The following is a 15,548-nucleotide window of genomic DNA, read 5'->3' as shown; positions in this document are numbered from 1 at the left end:
CGTCTGAAGAACAAAAGAAAAAAAAAAAAGAAAAGAAAAAGCAACACCAAAAAATATAGCCCAGCTCTAAAAACTAGCCTCGATCACTGTATCCAGCCAAAAAGGCCTAACCAAACTCTATTTTCTCTCCTTTCTTATCCCAATATTTCTAATCTTATTCTTAATCATATAACCCTGTTTCCCCAAGTAATCTCAATCACAATAAAAATGCTGACAAAGATAAACCGGAAACCACCATTAATCAACTACCATAACTGTACAATGCAGCAATACCTACAGAATCTTCACAAAGCCCTACTTCCTCACCCTTAAAAATCACCCAATTTTCCATATTTTAATAATCAGTAATAATTTCTACCTCATCATAATGCACTATTCACATAACCATAAATAATTCTAACAATAACCCTAACAACAGGGCACCCCATAACAACACTTGAGCCCCAAGCTTCAGAGTACTCCTCAGTAGCCATTGCTGTAGTACATTCCAAAACCACTATCATTCACCCCAAGTAAATTAAAAAAAAGATTAACCCCAGAAAAGCACCACCAAAATTTAACACAATACCACAACCTACTCGTCGACTAATGATCAACCCTAAACCTCCATAAATAGGTGAAGGCTTTGAAGAAGAACCCACAAAGCCCACAACAAAAATTGCACTTAATAAAAATACAGTCTGACAGAGCAGGAACATTGCCATCTTGGATGAGCCCCTCATTCTAAAGTTCACCTTAGTAAAAAACCGCCTAAATCCAAAGGGCATCAGCCTAATGGCTAAGGTCAGCATGACCATAAACCACAAATAGCATCTCCAACCAGAAACATTCCAAACTCCTGCTCGACCAGAGACATGCTAGCCCTGAGATAAACACCCCTCCAGCCAGGAAGATGCCAGCCTCGAGATAAGCCCCCTCTGGCAGGAAAGATGTCTGCCCCAAGACATCTTTGTCTTGCCTCCTCCCAGAGACATTCCAACTCTGCCAGAAACTTCTCTCCACACAGAAACATTCCAAGCTTGTGATAAGCCCCCTCACCCTAAAACCAATATATACTCTTAGTCCATAAGAGAAAGCGCTCCTGACCAAAATCAGCCAGGAGCGCCTCTCAGGTTTTATCTAAAGTAAACCTGTCTTTAACTGCAAGCAGCGTTTCGTGTTTGTCTCCTCTTTCTTCCGTTCTTTTTTTTTTTTAATTTTTTTAGTATTTATTGATCATTCTTGGGTGTTTCTTGGAGAGGGGGATTTGGCAGGGTCATAGGACAATAGTGGAGGGAAGGTCAGCAGATAAACATGTGAACAAAGGTCTCTGGTTTTCCTAGGCAGAGGGCCCTGCCGCCTTCCGCAGTGTTTGTGTCCCTGGGTACTTGAGATTAGGGAGTGGTGATGACTCTTAACGAGTATGCTACCTTCTAGCATCTGTTTAACAAAGCACATATTGCACTGCCCTTAATCCATTTAACCCTTAGTGGACACAGCACATGTTTCAGAGAGCACGGGGTTGGGGGTAAGGTTATGGATTAAGAGCATCCCAAGGCAGAAGAATTTTTCTTAGTACAGAACAAAATGGAGTCTCCTATGTCTACTTCTTTCTACACAGACACAGTAACAATCTGATCTCTCTTTCTTTTCCCCACATTTCCCCCTTTTCTATTCGACAAAACCGCCATCATCATCATGGCCCGTTCTCAATGAGCTGTTGGGTACACCTCCCAGACGGGGTGGCGGCCGGGCAGAGGGGCTCCTCACTTCCCAGACGGGGCGGCCGGGCAGAGGCGCCCCCCACCTCCCAGACGGGGTGGCGGCCGGGCGGGGGCTGCCCCCCACTTCCCGGACGGGGCGGCTGCCAGGCGGAGACGCTCCTCACTTCCCAGATGGGGTGACTGCCAGGCGGAGGGGCTCCTCACTTCTCAGACTGGGCAGCCGGTCAGAGACGCTCCTCACCTCCCAGACGGGGTGGCAGCGGGGCAGAGACACTCCTCAGTTCCCAGATGGGGTCGCGGCCAGGCAGAGGCGCTCTTCACATCTCAGACGGTGGCGGGGCAGAGGCGCTCCCCACATCCCAGACGATGGGCGGCCGGGCAGAGATGCTCCTCACTTCCTAGATGGGATGACGGCCGGGAAGAGGCGCTCCTCACTTCCCAGACTGGGCAGCCGGGCAGAGGGGCTCCTCACATCCCAGATGATGGGCGGCCAGGCAGAGACGCTCCTCACTTCCTAGACGGGGTGGCGGCCAGGCAGAGGCTGCAATCTGGACACTTTGGGAGGCCAAGGCAGGCAGCTGGGAGGTGGAGGTTGTAGCGAGCCGAGATCAGGCCACTGCACTCCAGCCTGGGCAACACTGAGCACTGAGTGAGCGAGACTCCGTCTGCAATCCCGGCACCTCGGGAGGCCGAGGCTGGCAGATCACTCGCAGTCAAGAGCTGGAGACCAGCCCGGCCAACACAGCGAAACCCCGTCTCCACCAAAAAATACGGAAACCAGTCAGGCGTGGCGGCGCCTGCCTGCAATCCCAGGCACTCTGCAGGCTGAGGCAGGAGAATCAGGCAGGGAGGTTGCAGTGAGTCGAGATGGCGGCAGTACAATCCAGCCTCCGCTCGGCATCAGAGGGAGACCGTGCAAAGGGAGACAGAGACGGGAGGGGGGAGGGGGAGGGGAAGGGAGAGGGAGAGGGAGACGGAGAGGGAGAGGGAGAGGGAGAGCTCTTCCGTTCTTTTTTTTTTTTTTTTTTTTTTTTGAGATGGAGTTTCACCCTTGTTGCCCAGGCTGGAGTGCAATGGTGCAATCTTGGCTCACCGCAACCTCCACCTCCTAGGTTCAAACAATTTTCCGACCTCAGCCTCCTGAGTAGCTGGGATTACAAGCATCCGCCACCACCCCCCCGCCCCGGCTAATTTTTGTATTTTTAGTAGAGATGGGGTTTTGCCATGTTGGCCAGGCTGGTCTTGATCTCCTGATCTCAGGATCCACCCGCCTTGGCCCCCCAAAGTGCTGGGATTACAGGCTTGAGCCACCATGCCCAGCTCCTCTTTAACTCCTACACAGTCGATGTCATAATTTTCACATGGAATTTAGCCATGACCAATGACATGAAAAATCATCGTTGTACTTGTGATGCTTAATAGTGAGCGTCAACTTGATTGGATTGAAGGAAACAAAGTATTGATCCTGGGTGTGCCTGTGAGAGTGCTACCAAAGGAGATTAACATTTGAGTCCGCAGGCTGGGAAAAGCAGACCCACCCTTAATCTGGGTGGGCACCATCTAATCAGCTGCCAGTGCATCTAGAATACAAGCAGGCAGAAAAATGTGAAAGGAGAGACTGGCCTAGCCTCCCAGCCTACATCTTTCTCCCATGCTGGACGCTTCCTGCTCTCAAACATTGGACTCCAAGATCATCAGTTTTGGAACTTGGACTGGCTCTCCTTGCTCCTCAGCCTGCAGACAGCCTATTGTGGGACATTGTGATCGTGTGAGTTCATACTTAATAAACTCTCATATAAATATATATATATATATATAAAGGGAGTATATATAATGAAATATATATATATATATTCCATTAGCTCTGTCCCTCTAGAGAGCCCTAATACAGTACTTCGACTATAAGAACTCTAGTGACCAACATCCAAAAAACCCACTGCTTAATAAAAATTATTAATCACTCATTTATTGACCTATTAGCACTACCAAACATTTCTGCATGATGAAATTTTGGCTCTCTTCTAGGTGACTGCCTGGCCCTACAAATTATTACAGGACTGTTCCTAGCCATACACTATATACCAGATATAATAGCTGCATTCTCCTCCATCACCCACATCTGTTGAGATGTAAATTATGGCTGATTTATCCAATATCTACATGCCAATGGAGCATCAATATTCTTCATCTTCTTCTTCTTACATGTAGGATGAGGCTTATATTACGGGTCTTATACTTGCCTAGAAACCTGAAACATTGGTATTAGTTTATTATTTGCCATAATAGTACAGCATTTATAGGTTATGTCCTGCTATGAGGATAGATAAACTTCTAAGGTACAACAGAAATCACAACCTCGTATCCGTTATTCCATATACTGGCACTGACCTTGTGCAGTGAATTTGTCGGGGCTTTTCAGTTGACAAGGCCACCCTCACACGATTCTTCGCCTTCACTTCATCTTACCCTTTGTTATTGTAGCCCTAGTAGCTGTCCACCTTTTATTTCTCCACAAGACAGCATCTAACAATCTGTCAGGAGTTTCATCAGATTCTAACAAAATTCCATTTCACCCCTACTATACAAAGACATCTTAAGCCTGATCCCCTTTCTTCTATTACTACTTTATTCTCATCTGACCTATTTATTCTCACCTGACCAACTAGACTCTGGCAAATACCCTCAATACACCATCCTACAATAAACCAGAGTGATACTTTTTGTTTGCCTACACAATTCTACATTCTGTCCCTAACAAAGTAAGAGGGGTACTGGCCTTTGTCCTCTTCATTCGTATCCTAACTATTTTTCCAATACTTCACATATCCAAGCAGCGAAGCATGATATTTCAACCATTAAGTCAATGCTTATGCTGAGTTTTAGTAGCAGACCTTCTTAAGCTTACATGAATCAGAGGCCAAGCTGTCCAACACCCCTTCATCATCATCGGCTAAGCAGCATCTATTGCATATTTTTCCCTCATCCTTGTTTTCATGTCACTCACTAGTCTAATAGAAAACAAGTTACCCAAATGAAGAAGTCCTTGTAGTATAATTAAATTACTTTGGTCTTGTAAACCAAAAATGGAGGGCCCTCCTCCCCAGGACAATTTCAAGGAGGAAGCTTCCTGCTTCACCACTAGCACCCAAAGCTTAAGTTGTACCTTAACTATCCCCTGATTTCTCTACTTGGGAGTACAGTAATTTTATTTTAACTGCTATGTCAGTATTGAAGAATCCACAAAAATTAATAGTACAACTATGTACATTGTGCATTCCTGCTCGACCCCAAGAATTAATGTACCAGTATCATATATGCTTAATCATACATTGTACATTGATGTATTATCATACATTAAATTCCTACTTCCATGAATATCCAGCAAGAACAATAATGCCATAATAACCTATCATACATTTATTGAACATACCACAAGGACAGATTTGCATACACGCCCATTGTCCAGTACAGCAAATCCTTAATATTACATAAGACGTTCAGTCATTTATGGTACATAGCACATCCAAGTCAAATAATTCCTTGTTAACACGCTTATCACCTCCAATTCACCTTCTTAAACTACCAAGCTTTGAGAAATTAGAAACCCACTCGGGAAGTTCTACCTTCCTTGCTCCAGGCCCATAACACTTAGGTGTGACTTATACTGAAATTAAACCTGGCATCTGGTTCTTCAGGGCCATGGACACTAAGATTGCCAGCTTGTTCCCCTTAAATAAGACATCTCAATGGAACAATAACTAATCACCTCATGATCACTCATGGGAGCACTGTCATGCATTTGGTATTTTTAAAATTTGGGGATGCTATGATCCAGCACGGTGGGAGCCTGAACCCAGCCAAGTCAATTGTAGCTGGATTAAATTGAATATTATGAGTCAACATTTATAACCATAAGGTGCTAATTCACTCATGCTTGATGAACATAATGATAATACAGTGCACAACTTGAACATTATAAAGTATTAAGTTTTCCATTTGAGATATTCTTTCAGGTCCTGTATGCCAGTGAAACTACTAACATCAGCTGGGGTGAAGAACCCCACAAGAAGCTGACTCACCAAAGAATGCAGTTTACACATCCTGATTATTTCATCCCCCTTACCCCAAGCAATCAATGGCCCCAATTTTCCAGCCCCCTCACCCTCCATGATCCCCTTAGAAACCCCAGCCCAGAACTCCTTGAGAGGATTGATTTGAGGGTCTCCTCCCATCTCCTCACTTGGTGCCATGCAATCACTAGACTCTTTCTCTGCTGCAAACCCTTCTGTTTCAGTGTATTGGTATGTTACTGCACAGTGGGCATACAAACCTGTTGGTCCTATAACACAATAATCTGACCCTTCTACAAGTCTCATAATTTGTGGGATTCCCATACATATGTATGTAATGAAATAGGTTTTCAAAATCCAGTTAATCTGTCTTATATCCATTTAATTCATAGCCCAGCCAAGGAACCTAGAAGGGTGGAGGAAAGCCTATTTTTGCTCCCCTATAGTTGGCACCCAACCCAGGGCCTCACTGGCAGGGACCAGCTCACTCCACAAATGCTGAAACTATAGGATCCTGAGACCCCTGACGAAAATGCTAGCCACAGGTAAGATTTCTGACCACAGCAGGTTTTCAGGTCTCTTCCTTCAGAGTCTGGTTGAAGCAAGAGTGTTAAGAGTCCCTTTGTCTTACCCTTTCTAAATTTGGATTAGCAGAAGAAATGTGTAGGAACTAGTTCTTTCTTTCTTTTTATTTTTTTGATAAGAGTCTCCCTCTGTCACCTAGGCTGGAGTGCAGTGGCATGATCTTGACTCACTACAACCTCCGCCTCCTGGGTTCAAGCAATTCTCATGCCTCAGCCTCCCCAGTAGCTGAGATTACAGGTGTGCACCACCACATCCTGCCAATTTTTGTATTTTTAATAGAGATGGGGTTTTGCCTTGTTGGTCAGGCTGGTCTCAAACTCCTGGCATCAAGTGATCTGCCCACCTCAGCCTCTTAAAGTGCTGGGATTACAGATATGTGCCACTGTGCCTGGCCACTGAAGTAGTTCCTGCATATGGATTCTAGTATTTGGGGGAGGGGATTATGAATATTCTTGTTTTCTGATCCCTTTCTTCCCAGATATGGTCTTTGTTTTTCATTTATTTTGTCTTTCATGTCATGTGTCATGAGGAGTAGAATCATAGGGCAGAACATGGGCACAGGCCCTTATAAACCTGTTGTTCAAGCTGGCCTCACAGATTGGTGAGTTTAAGGTTCTCACCAAAGTGGTGTCAGTTTAGACAAACTTTGGTGTGGGTCCCAGAGACAAATAAACTGATGAGGTTCTCCTTTCATCTTGTTTTATGTCCTGAGAGCTTGGCTTTCTGACCAGAGAACACTCTCTCTGATATCTGCCATCTGCTGGAGTGGGGCTCAAGTATGGGCTTGCATCAGGCAGCCAGTCAAACAGGTTGGAACCTGAGACAAGAAGTGGCAAGCAGCATTTTCTTTGACTGGCCATGTCAGCTTTCAGGGGAGTCTGTCACAATAAGCAGTCCCAGTCCATAAGGGGCTTTTGTTGTTTTAATCTTCATTGCTTGGTTAGTGCTTGGAAATTCCCATCCCAATATCACTTGCCTAGTGTTACAGACCAGGAGGTTTGTGACTGGAGGCATCCCACATTCTGTGGGTGATATAGTTTGGATGTGTGTCCCCACCCAAATCTAATATTGAAATGTAATCCCAGCCGGGGGTGGTGGCTCACGCCTGTAACCCCATCACTTTGGGAGGCCGAGGCAGGTGGATCACTTGATGTCAGGAGTTCTAGACCAGCCTGGCCAACATGGTGAGACCCCGTCTCTACTAAAAATACAAAAATTAGCCGGATGTGTTGGCAGGTGCCTGTAATCCCAGCCACTTGGAAGACTGAGGCAGGAGAATTGCTTGAACCTCGGAGGCAGAGGTTGCGGTGAGCCGAGATTGTGCCACTGCACTCCAGCCTGGGCAACAGAGCAACACTCCATCTCAAAAAATAAATAAATAAATAAATAAAATAAAATAATAAAAATAAATAAAATAAAGAAATGTAATCCCCATTGCTGGAGGTGGGGACTGGAGGGAGGTGATTGGATTATGGGGGTGAATTTCTCATGAATAGTTTAACATCATCCCCCTTGGTATTTTCCTCATGATAGCAAGTGAGATCTGAACATTTAAAAGTGTGTGGCACCTCCCCCTCGCTTTCTTGCTCTTGCTTTCACCATGTGACATGCCTGCTACCCCTTTGCCTTCTGACATGATAGTAAGTTTCCTGAGGCCTCACCAGAAGCCAGACTGATACCAGCATCATGTTTCCTGTACTGCCAGCAGAATCGTGAGCCAATTAAACGTCTTTATAAATTACCCAGTCTCAGGTAGTTCTTTATAGCAATGCGAGAACAGACTAATACAGGTAAGTTTTATTTTCTTAACCTTAGGGTACATCTTAGTTGATAAAAGGGAATCTATTTTGGTCTCTCAGGTCACATATTCTAAATCTGGAGAGTTAGAATAACTTTTGGTTTAACTCTACATGTTTCTGTGAAAAGAGTTATTGGTTGAGTCACTTTTAGGATAAATGAATTGGCTATATTAAAAAAATGTATTTTCAGAGGGCTGTTCTAAACAACTATTTATTGGTACCTATGAGAAGGTCAAATTGAAAAAAGGACATAAAGAGGTATAACAGCTAACTTTAGAGACACCCTTAGCAAGATCAAAAAGCAGAAATCAGATTAGAACAAAGTTAAAATCCTTTTAACTCATTGTAAATTTTACTTCTCTGCCCTCTTATACTTCCCCAATTCCCTGTCCCTCACCCTTCAAAATATCTTTTGGATCTCATGGTCCTAATTTAAAACTCCCCTCCTTCAAATCTGGCTCCATTTCCTCATTACATTCCTTTAGCTAAGGAGAGAAACATTTGTAAGAATTGCTTTGAATTATGACTTTTGGTTTTGGAGTACCCATTTGTTAGTGATCCTTTCTCTCTCGTGAACAGCTATTGTTTTCCTGTTTGTCTCATTTTTGTGTCTTGAGAACTTGGTTTAACTTTCTGCTTATTAGGGGCACATGGGTTATCAGGCTTGCATGTACAGGCAGCCAACCAAAAGGTTGGGAGCACCCCAAAATATGGCTGGACAGGAATGTGGGTTGTGCCCCATTTGAGGCTAATGTACCTACTGTTGCCGGCTCTCAGGATCATCGTCTTAAGGTTTTCTTCTGGCTGTCTTTGGGAGTGGCTTTGTGTCTTGGAAGGGCTGCATCTTCTTGCTCCCTCTCTGGAGATGCCTCATATGTCCATGGTTAAAGCCAAAAGAGGCTTATTAGTTTTGGTTTGAGTGATCTATTAGGTATACCTTTGGTTTAGAACATTGGTTTATATATATCCAGAGCATAAGAGGAACTTTTTTTTTTCTGGCCTTCTCTCTTGAGCTAAAATGGAACTATATACTCAGAAAGAAAGAAAACAGATTATTAAAACATTCCAAAGATGAACAGCTGTAAATCTAGAACAGAGGAATCTTTTAATTTCCATCTTAGTTGGAAATCTCCCTGATATAAAGGAGCAAATTATAGATAATGTAATTAGATGGATTGGTCAACCCCTTGATATAATTCAGCCTGCAACCTAATTTTGGGGGGAATTAAAAACAACTGTCCTTGTCTTACAAATTGAGTCCTTACAAAAACATGAATGTGCCTCTAGAAGCAATTCAAAGCCCACCTATCCTTATTATCAATCTCCAAACTTCACCTATTCATCTCAAGATGTCTGCAGATACTTTAAAAAATTAGAACATTGGAAACAGAACAGTTCTACATTTAAGAAAAGGAAAGAAAACTGTAAAAAGTAACTAAACTAGACCTCTAATAGGCAAATATGCCCCCTCCTTCTTGGTGAAAACTTACATTCTTTCTCTGTGCCTTTGAGATGTAATTTTCTACTCTGTCTTATCCAAGAACTATCCCTTTTGAAATGCAAACTTTAGGAAGATGATTCTCAGCAATAAACAAACAACAACAACAACAAAAACCTGAAAAATCTTTTTTTTTTTGTTTTTGTTTTTTTTTTTTGAGACGGAGTTGTTGCCCAGGCTGGAGTGCAATGGCACGATCTCGGCTCACTGCAACCTCCACCTCCCAGGTACAAGCGAGTCTCCTGTCTCAGCCTCCCAGGTAGCTCGGATTACAGGCATGTGCCACCACGCCTGGCTATTTGTTTTGTATTTGTTAGAGACAGGGTTTCACCATGTTAGGCTGGTCTCAAACTCCTGACCTCAGGTGATCCACCTGCCTCGGTTTCCCAAAGTGCTGGGATTACAGGTGTGCACCACCGTGCCTGGCCTGAAAAAAAATCTTAAAAGTCTTTTCTATTAACAGTAAAAAGCTTTAGCTGGCTGGGTGCTGTGGCTCATGTCTGTAATCCCAGCACTTTGGGAGGCTGAGGCGGGCGGATTATCTGAGGTCAGGAGTTGGAGACCAACCTGGCCAACATGGGAAACCCCATCTCTACTAAAAACTACAAAAATTAGCTGGGCGTGGTGGTGGGTGCCTGTAATCCCAGCTACTTGGGAGGCTGAGGCAGAAGAATCCCTTGAACCGAGGAGGCAGAGGTTGCAGTGAGCCGAGATTGCATCATTGCACTCCAGCATGGGTGACAGAGTGAAACTCCATCTTAAAAAAAAAAAAAAAAAAAAAAAAGCTTCAGCCATGTGAGCAGGTAACCTTAATTTGTTCTAATTTTGGGGGTCAGAAACACAATTTACATAAAAATATATGAGGGGATAAACCAGTGAGTTTATATTACTATATTTTACTGCCTCATGACTAAAACTTTTAAAGTAAAATGCCATAAGATCTTTATTTGTGTTTGTTTGTATGTCTATGTATGCTTATGGATGTGTGTATACAAGCATGTTTGCATGTTATGTCTACATGATATAAAAATCTCTTAATTTTTTGTTTGAGATGGAGTCTTGCTCTATCACCCAGGCTGGAGTGCAGTGGTGTGACCTCGGCTCACTGCAACCTCCGCCTCCCAGGTTCAAGCGATTCTCCTGCCCCAGCCTCCAGAGTAGCTGGGATTACAGGTGCATGCCACCACGCTCGGCTAACTTTTGTATTTTTAGTAGAGATAGGGTTTTGCCATGTTGGCCAGGCTGGTCTCAAACTCCTGACCTCAGGTGATCCACCCGCCTTGGTCTCCCAAGGTGCTGGGGTTACAGGGGCCTGCCACCAGTCCTGGCTAATTTTTGTACTTTTAGTAGAGACTGGGTTTCGCCATGTTGGCCAGGCTGGTCTTGAACTCCTAAGCTCAAGTGATCTGCCCACCTCAACCTCCCAAAGTGCTGAGATTACAGGCATGAGCCATCGCACCAGGCCCATGGTATAAAATCTCTTAAAGGAGTTCTATTCAAATTGGCTGTAGACATTGGTTGGGAATGGTGGCCCATGCCTGTAATCCCAACTCTTTTGGGAGGCTGAGATGTGAGGATTGTTTGAGCTCTAGAATTCAAGACCAGCCTGTGCAACATAGTGAGACCTTGTGTCTACTTAAAAAAAAAATTAACAGGGCATGGTCGTGTGTGTCTGCAAGTGCCAGCTGCTTGGGAGGCTGAGGTGGGAGAGTCGCTTGAGCTTGGCAGATGAGGCTGCAGTGAGCTGTGATCGCACCACTGCAGTACATCCAGCCTAGCTGAGAGAGCAAAACCATGTCTCAAACAAACCAAAAACCAAATTGGCTTAGAGGTAAATGAGTGCTTATATAAATGAAAAACTAAAACTGCTAGAAATATGATAACTAACTCAAATATTTTTCAAGTTTATGTGACTTGGGTAAATCTTTGGTAAATAAGACTAGCTTGTTACTGTTGGTTTAATGAAAACAGCTGCATCTTCTGAGCTGTCAACAAGAAACAAACCAACAAACAAATTAAAAAAACACCCATGTAATTTGCTTTGGTGATGACTGCCTGACATGCATATGCTGTAAAAATAGTTAATAGTGCCCAGGCACAGTGGCTCATGCCTGTAATCCCAGCACTTTGGGAGGCTGAGGCTGGTGGATTGCTTGAGGTCAGGAGTTTGAGATCAGCCTGGCCAACATGGTGAAACCCCGTCTCTACTAAAATACAAAAATTAGCTGAGTGTGGTGGCGCACACCTGTAATCCCAGCTACCAGGGAGGCTGAGGCAGGAGAATTGCTTGAACCCAGGAGGTGGAGGTTGCAGTGAGCCAAGATTGCACCACTGCACTCCAGCCTGGGCTACAGAGTGAGACTCTGTCTCAAAAACAAAAAAAGAAAAAGTTAATAGTGAAATAACTTGAGTTGATGGCTAGTTTTGTCTAATGTCTCATGAAATTTTCATGAGTAATCCAAACATGATTGTTAAGAATGAGTAAATTAAATAAGATGTAAATAAAATTTATAAATAAACTTAAACAATAATTATGTTTTATTATATGTTTACTTAAAAAGTTTCCCAAATCTCTTTGGTAACTCCTACCTACAGAGTTTTGCTAAGTTAAATTGAATGGTGGCTATTCACTGAACATCCAGATCATTTCCAAATAAGATAAAATACTAAAACATTAATTTCTGAACATAAGTTTATTTACTTTCGGCTTCTTGAATTCTATAGAAGTACAAAATATATTTTGGATCTGTTAGTAAGTATGTCCTGTTCCACAATGAAAAATTGTTCTAGCAGAAAACATGTTTGCAAAAATTATGAAATGTGTATTAATAAAGTGCTAGTACATGACAGTTCAACATTGCTTACTTCCTAGGTTTACACTAGGAATTAGGGTTACTGTATTAGTCTGTTTTCACACTGCTCTAAAGAACTTCCCTGAGGCTGGGCAATTTATAAAGGAAAGAGATTTAATTGACTCAACAATTCCACATGGCCGGGGAGTCCTCAGGAAACTTACAATGAGGCACCTTCTTCATAAGGTGGCAGAAGGAAGAAGTGAGAGTGCAGGAAAAACTGCCACTCTAAAAGCCATCAGATCTCGAGGCTGGATGCAGTGGCTCACGCCTGTAATTCCAGCACTTTGGGAGGCCAAGGTGGGCAGATCACTTGAGACCAGGAGTTCGAGACCAGCCCGGCCAACATGGCGAAACCCTGTCAACACTAAAAAAATACAAAAATTAGCCAGGCATGGTGGTATGTGCCTGTAATCCCAGCACCTTGGGAGTTGGAAGCAGGAGAATCACTTGAGCCTGGGAGGTGGAGGTTGCAGTGAGCCTAGATTGAGCCACTGCACTCCAGCCTGGGTGACAGAGCAAGACTCAAAACAAAACAAAAAAAATCAGATCTTGTGAGAATTCACTCACTATCACAAGAACAGCATAGGGGAAACTGCCCCCATAATCCAATCACTTCCCTCCCTGGACACATGGGGATTACAGGTCCCTCCCCTGACACCATGGGGATTACAGTTCCAGATGAGATTTGGGTGGGGACAGGGTCAAACTATATCGGTTACTAAGACTTAAAATCCTAACATGTAATCAAAACTACTAGAAATAAGAGAACATTGTATACAAAATGTACAAAGAAAGATGATCTACGGTATGTGAATGTGTTTTTTTGTTGTTGAGGGAAAGCGTTAGAAATGCTTGTTCCCTGGTGCTGCAAAGAAATAGCACTTGAACATAAATTTAATTCTCTCAGCAAGGCCATTTTTACTTTCTGCAGAAAGGGTGCCTCTCACAGATGGAACAATGGTGATAGCACACTTGAACAAAGGAAAAGAAGACATATTTATCCCTTACACATTTGGGTTGTCCTTACTGCTGTGTCCTGCATCCATTGGCTGGAGCTGGACCTCACAGTCTTAAACTGATACCCGATTTGCTGATAGCCTAAATCTTTCCTAAATAGGTAAGTGCAAGGGGGAACAAAGAAGGAGAGGAAGTTGCTTATGAAAGGTTTAAGGAAGCAATAACATTTCCAAATGAGGAAGGGCTGTAAGCTATAAGCTAAGACTTGCCTGGGCCTGTCCAGACATGCCCGGGTAAGCCAAAGCAGCTAACGGGGCTAAAGTATAAGAACTGATAGTTGATAGGAGGCTTTAGAGTAAGAAGCTATTATTCCTAGTGTCTATTATTTTATTTTTAAACCAAGATAAGCTTTGAAGACGAACTTTTCTACTTTCTACAGAAAGATAATTTTGTTCAGTTGGGAGGTTATTTAAAGATTGTTTCAGAACAAATGAAGAAAAGATGGACAAAAATTTAATGGATGTAAAATTGGGAAGAGAGAGAGTAAGTGAGGGAGAATCTTGTGTGGTCAAACTGACTAAAATTTAATGAATTTGTTATAAGCGTTTTAAAAATGAGCCTTAATATCAAAAGTACACTGATGGCAAAACTAGAATTGGTCTTCTCCTTTAAAATGACAAGATTTTCTTATAGTAGTGATGAGAGACAGTGAAAGATTTGTTTTTACCTTTTGAGTGATCTGCCTAAATGAAAAGATTTTTGTTACTTATCAAAATAATTTCCTGTGCTTCATGTTGTCTTTTATCAGGTCTTTGACTACTTAAAAGAAAACAGAGTCCTATCTATTATAAGAGCTAAGGCTATTCTTTATTTGCCTTTGAAGTCTTAATTATGACTCTTGTTAAATGAATGATACAGTACTCTGTACTCTGGGATACAGGTTTATGATAACTTTACGATCATACCATTGGACTGGGTAAGAATTTCCAGAACTGTAACGAAGAAACTGATGGGCTCATGAAACTAGTAACTTAACATCAAGCAGAATGAGAATTAATTACATGGAACTGAACTGACAAAAAGATTAAATTTTTTAAAATGACTTTTTGTTTAAAACATTGCTGAGTCTTGGCTGGATGTGGTGGCTCACGCCTGTAATCCCAGCACTTTGGGAGGCCGAGGCAGGTGGATCACCTGAAGTCAGGAGTTTGAGACCAGCCTGGCCAGCATGGTGAAACCCCATCTCTACTAAAAATACAAAAATTAGCTGGGCGTGGTGGCGGGTGCCTGTAATTCCAGCTACTGGGGAGGTTGAGGCAGGAGAACCACTTGAACCTGGGGAGGCGGAGGTTGCAGTGAGCTGAGATTGCGCCACGGCACTCTAGCCGGGTGACAGAGCAAGACTCTGTCTCAAGAAAAAAAAAAATTGCTGATTCTTTTTATATTTTGTTTACTGAATTTAAAGAAACTTAAACATTTTTAAGCTATCTATAACTTACAAAATTTGGCAAATTATACTTTTGTAAATAGAATTGCAACATTTACCTTTTTCTCCATACCTGATCCTTCCAGAATTTGGAAACTATTTTTGAATATTCTTATTTTTTATGGCAGTATAATTATTTGCATAAGTTCAATAAGAGTCTGTTTTCTTTGTAATAGGACACAATTGGAGACACTGGTTATATTATCAAGGCTTGATGGAAATGTCATATTTTCTGATATGACTAGATAACTTTAGGGAACTAAGGTTGACTTTATAGAACCAATAAAGCCCTTGGGGAAAAAAACTGGCCTGGTATCTTGAACACACAATTCATCTTGCTGCCTTACAGGTAGGTTATTTCCTGGCAAGCCCAGGAACCTCAAAATATTTTGGGGACCTTGAGAAGAGAGGAATTCATACAAATCTACAAATATTACAGGCAAAGTTTGATGATGAGTCTTCAGTTTGGCTTTATAGCCTCAAGAGGCTTCCAAAAGTCCAATCTGTAATTCCTTATTAAAAGTTCCAGACTTAAAAGAGACTGTAAGATCAATTACTGTTTTTTTTTTTTTTTTTTTTTTTTTTTGAGACAGGT

At 42.6% G+C, this 15,548-nt stretch overlaps 2 pseudogenes, besides 1 other annotated feature; one reads left to right on the top strand and one right to left on the bottom strand.

Moving 5' to 3' along the window:
• MTND6P31 (MT-ND6 pseudogene 31) lies at positions 177-676 on the bottom strand (annotated as a pseudogene).
• On the top strand, positions 3,617-4,738 carry MTCYBP31 (MT-CYB pseudogene 31; annotated as a pseudogene).
• Positions 13,109-14,308: an enhancer, noted in NCBI's record as "MED14-independent group 3 enhancer chrX:69330633-69331832 (GRCh37/hg19 assembly coordinates)". NCBI's record gives its function as "activates an origin of replication core promoter dependent on BRD2, BRD4, P300/CBP and CDK7 cofactors, and independent of MED14, by STARR-seq in HCT116 cells {active_cell/tissue: HCT116}" and the evidence as "EXISTENCE:reporter gene assay evidence [ECO:0000049][PMID:35650434]".

Source organism: Homo sapiens, chromosome X, assembly GCF_000001405.40.
Source record: "Homo sapiens chromosome X, GRCh38.p14 Primary Assembly".
NCBI classification, from domain to species: Eukaryota; Metazoa; Chordata; class Mammalia; order Primates; family Hominidae; genus Homo; species Homo sapiens.
Note: the sequence above shows the minus strand (reverse complement) of the source record. Positions and strands in the feature narration are given on the sequence as shown.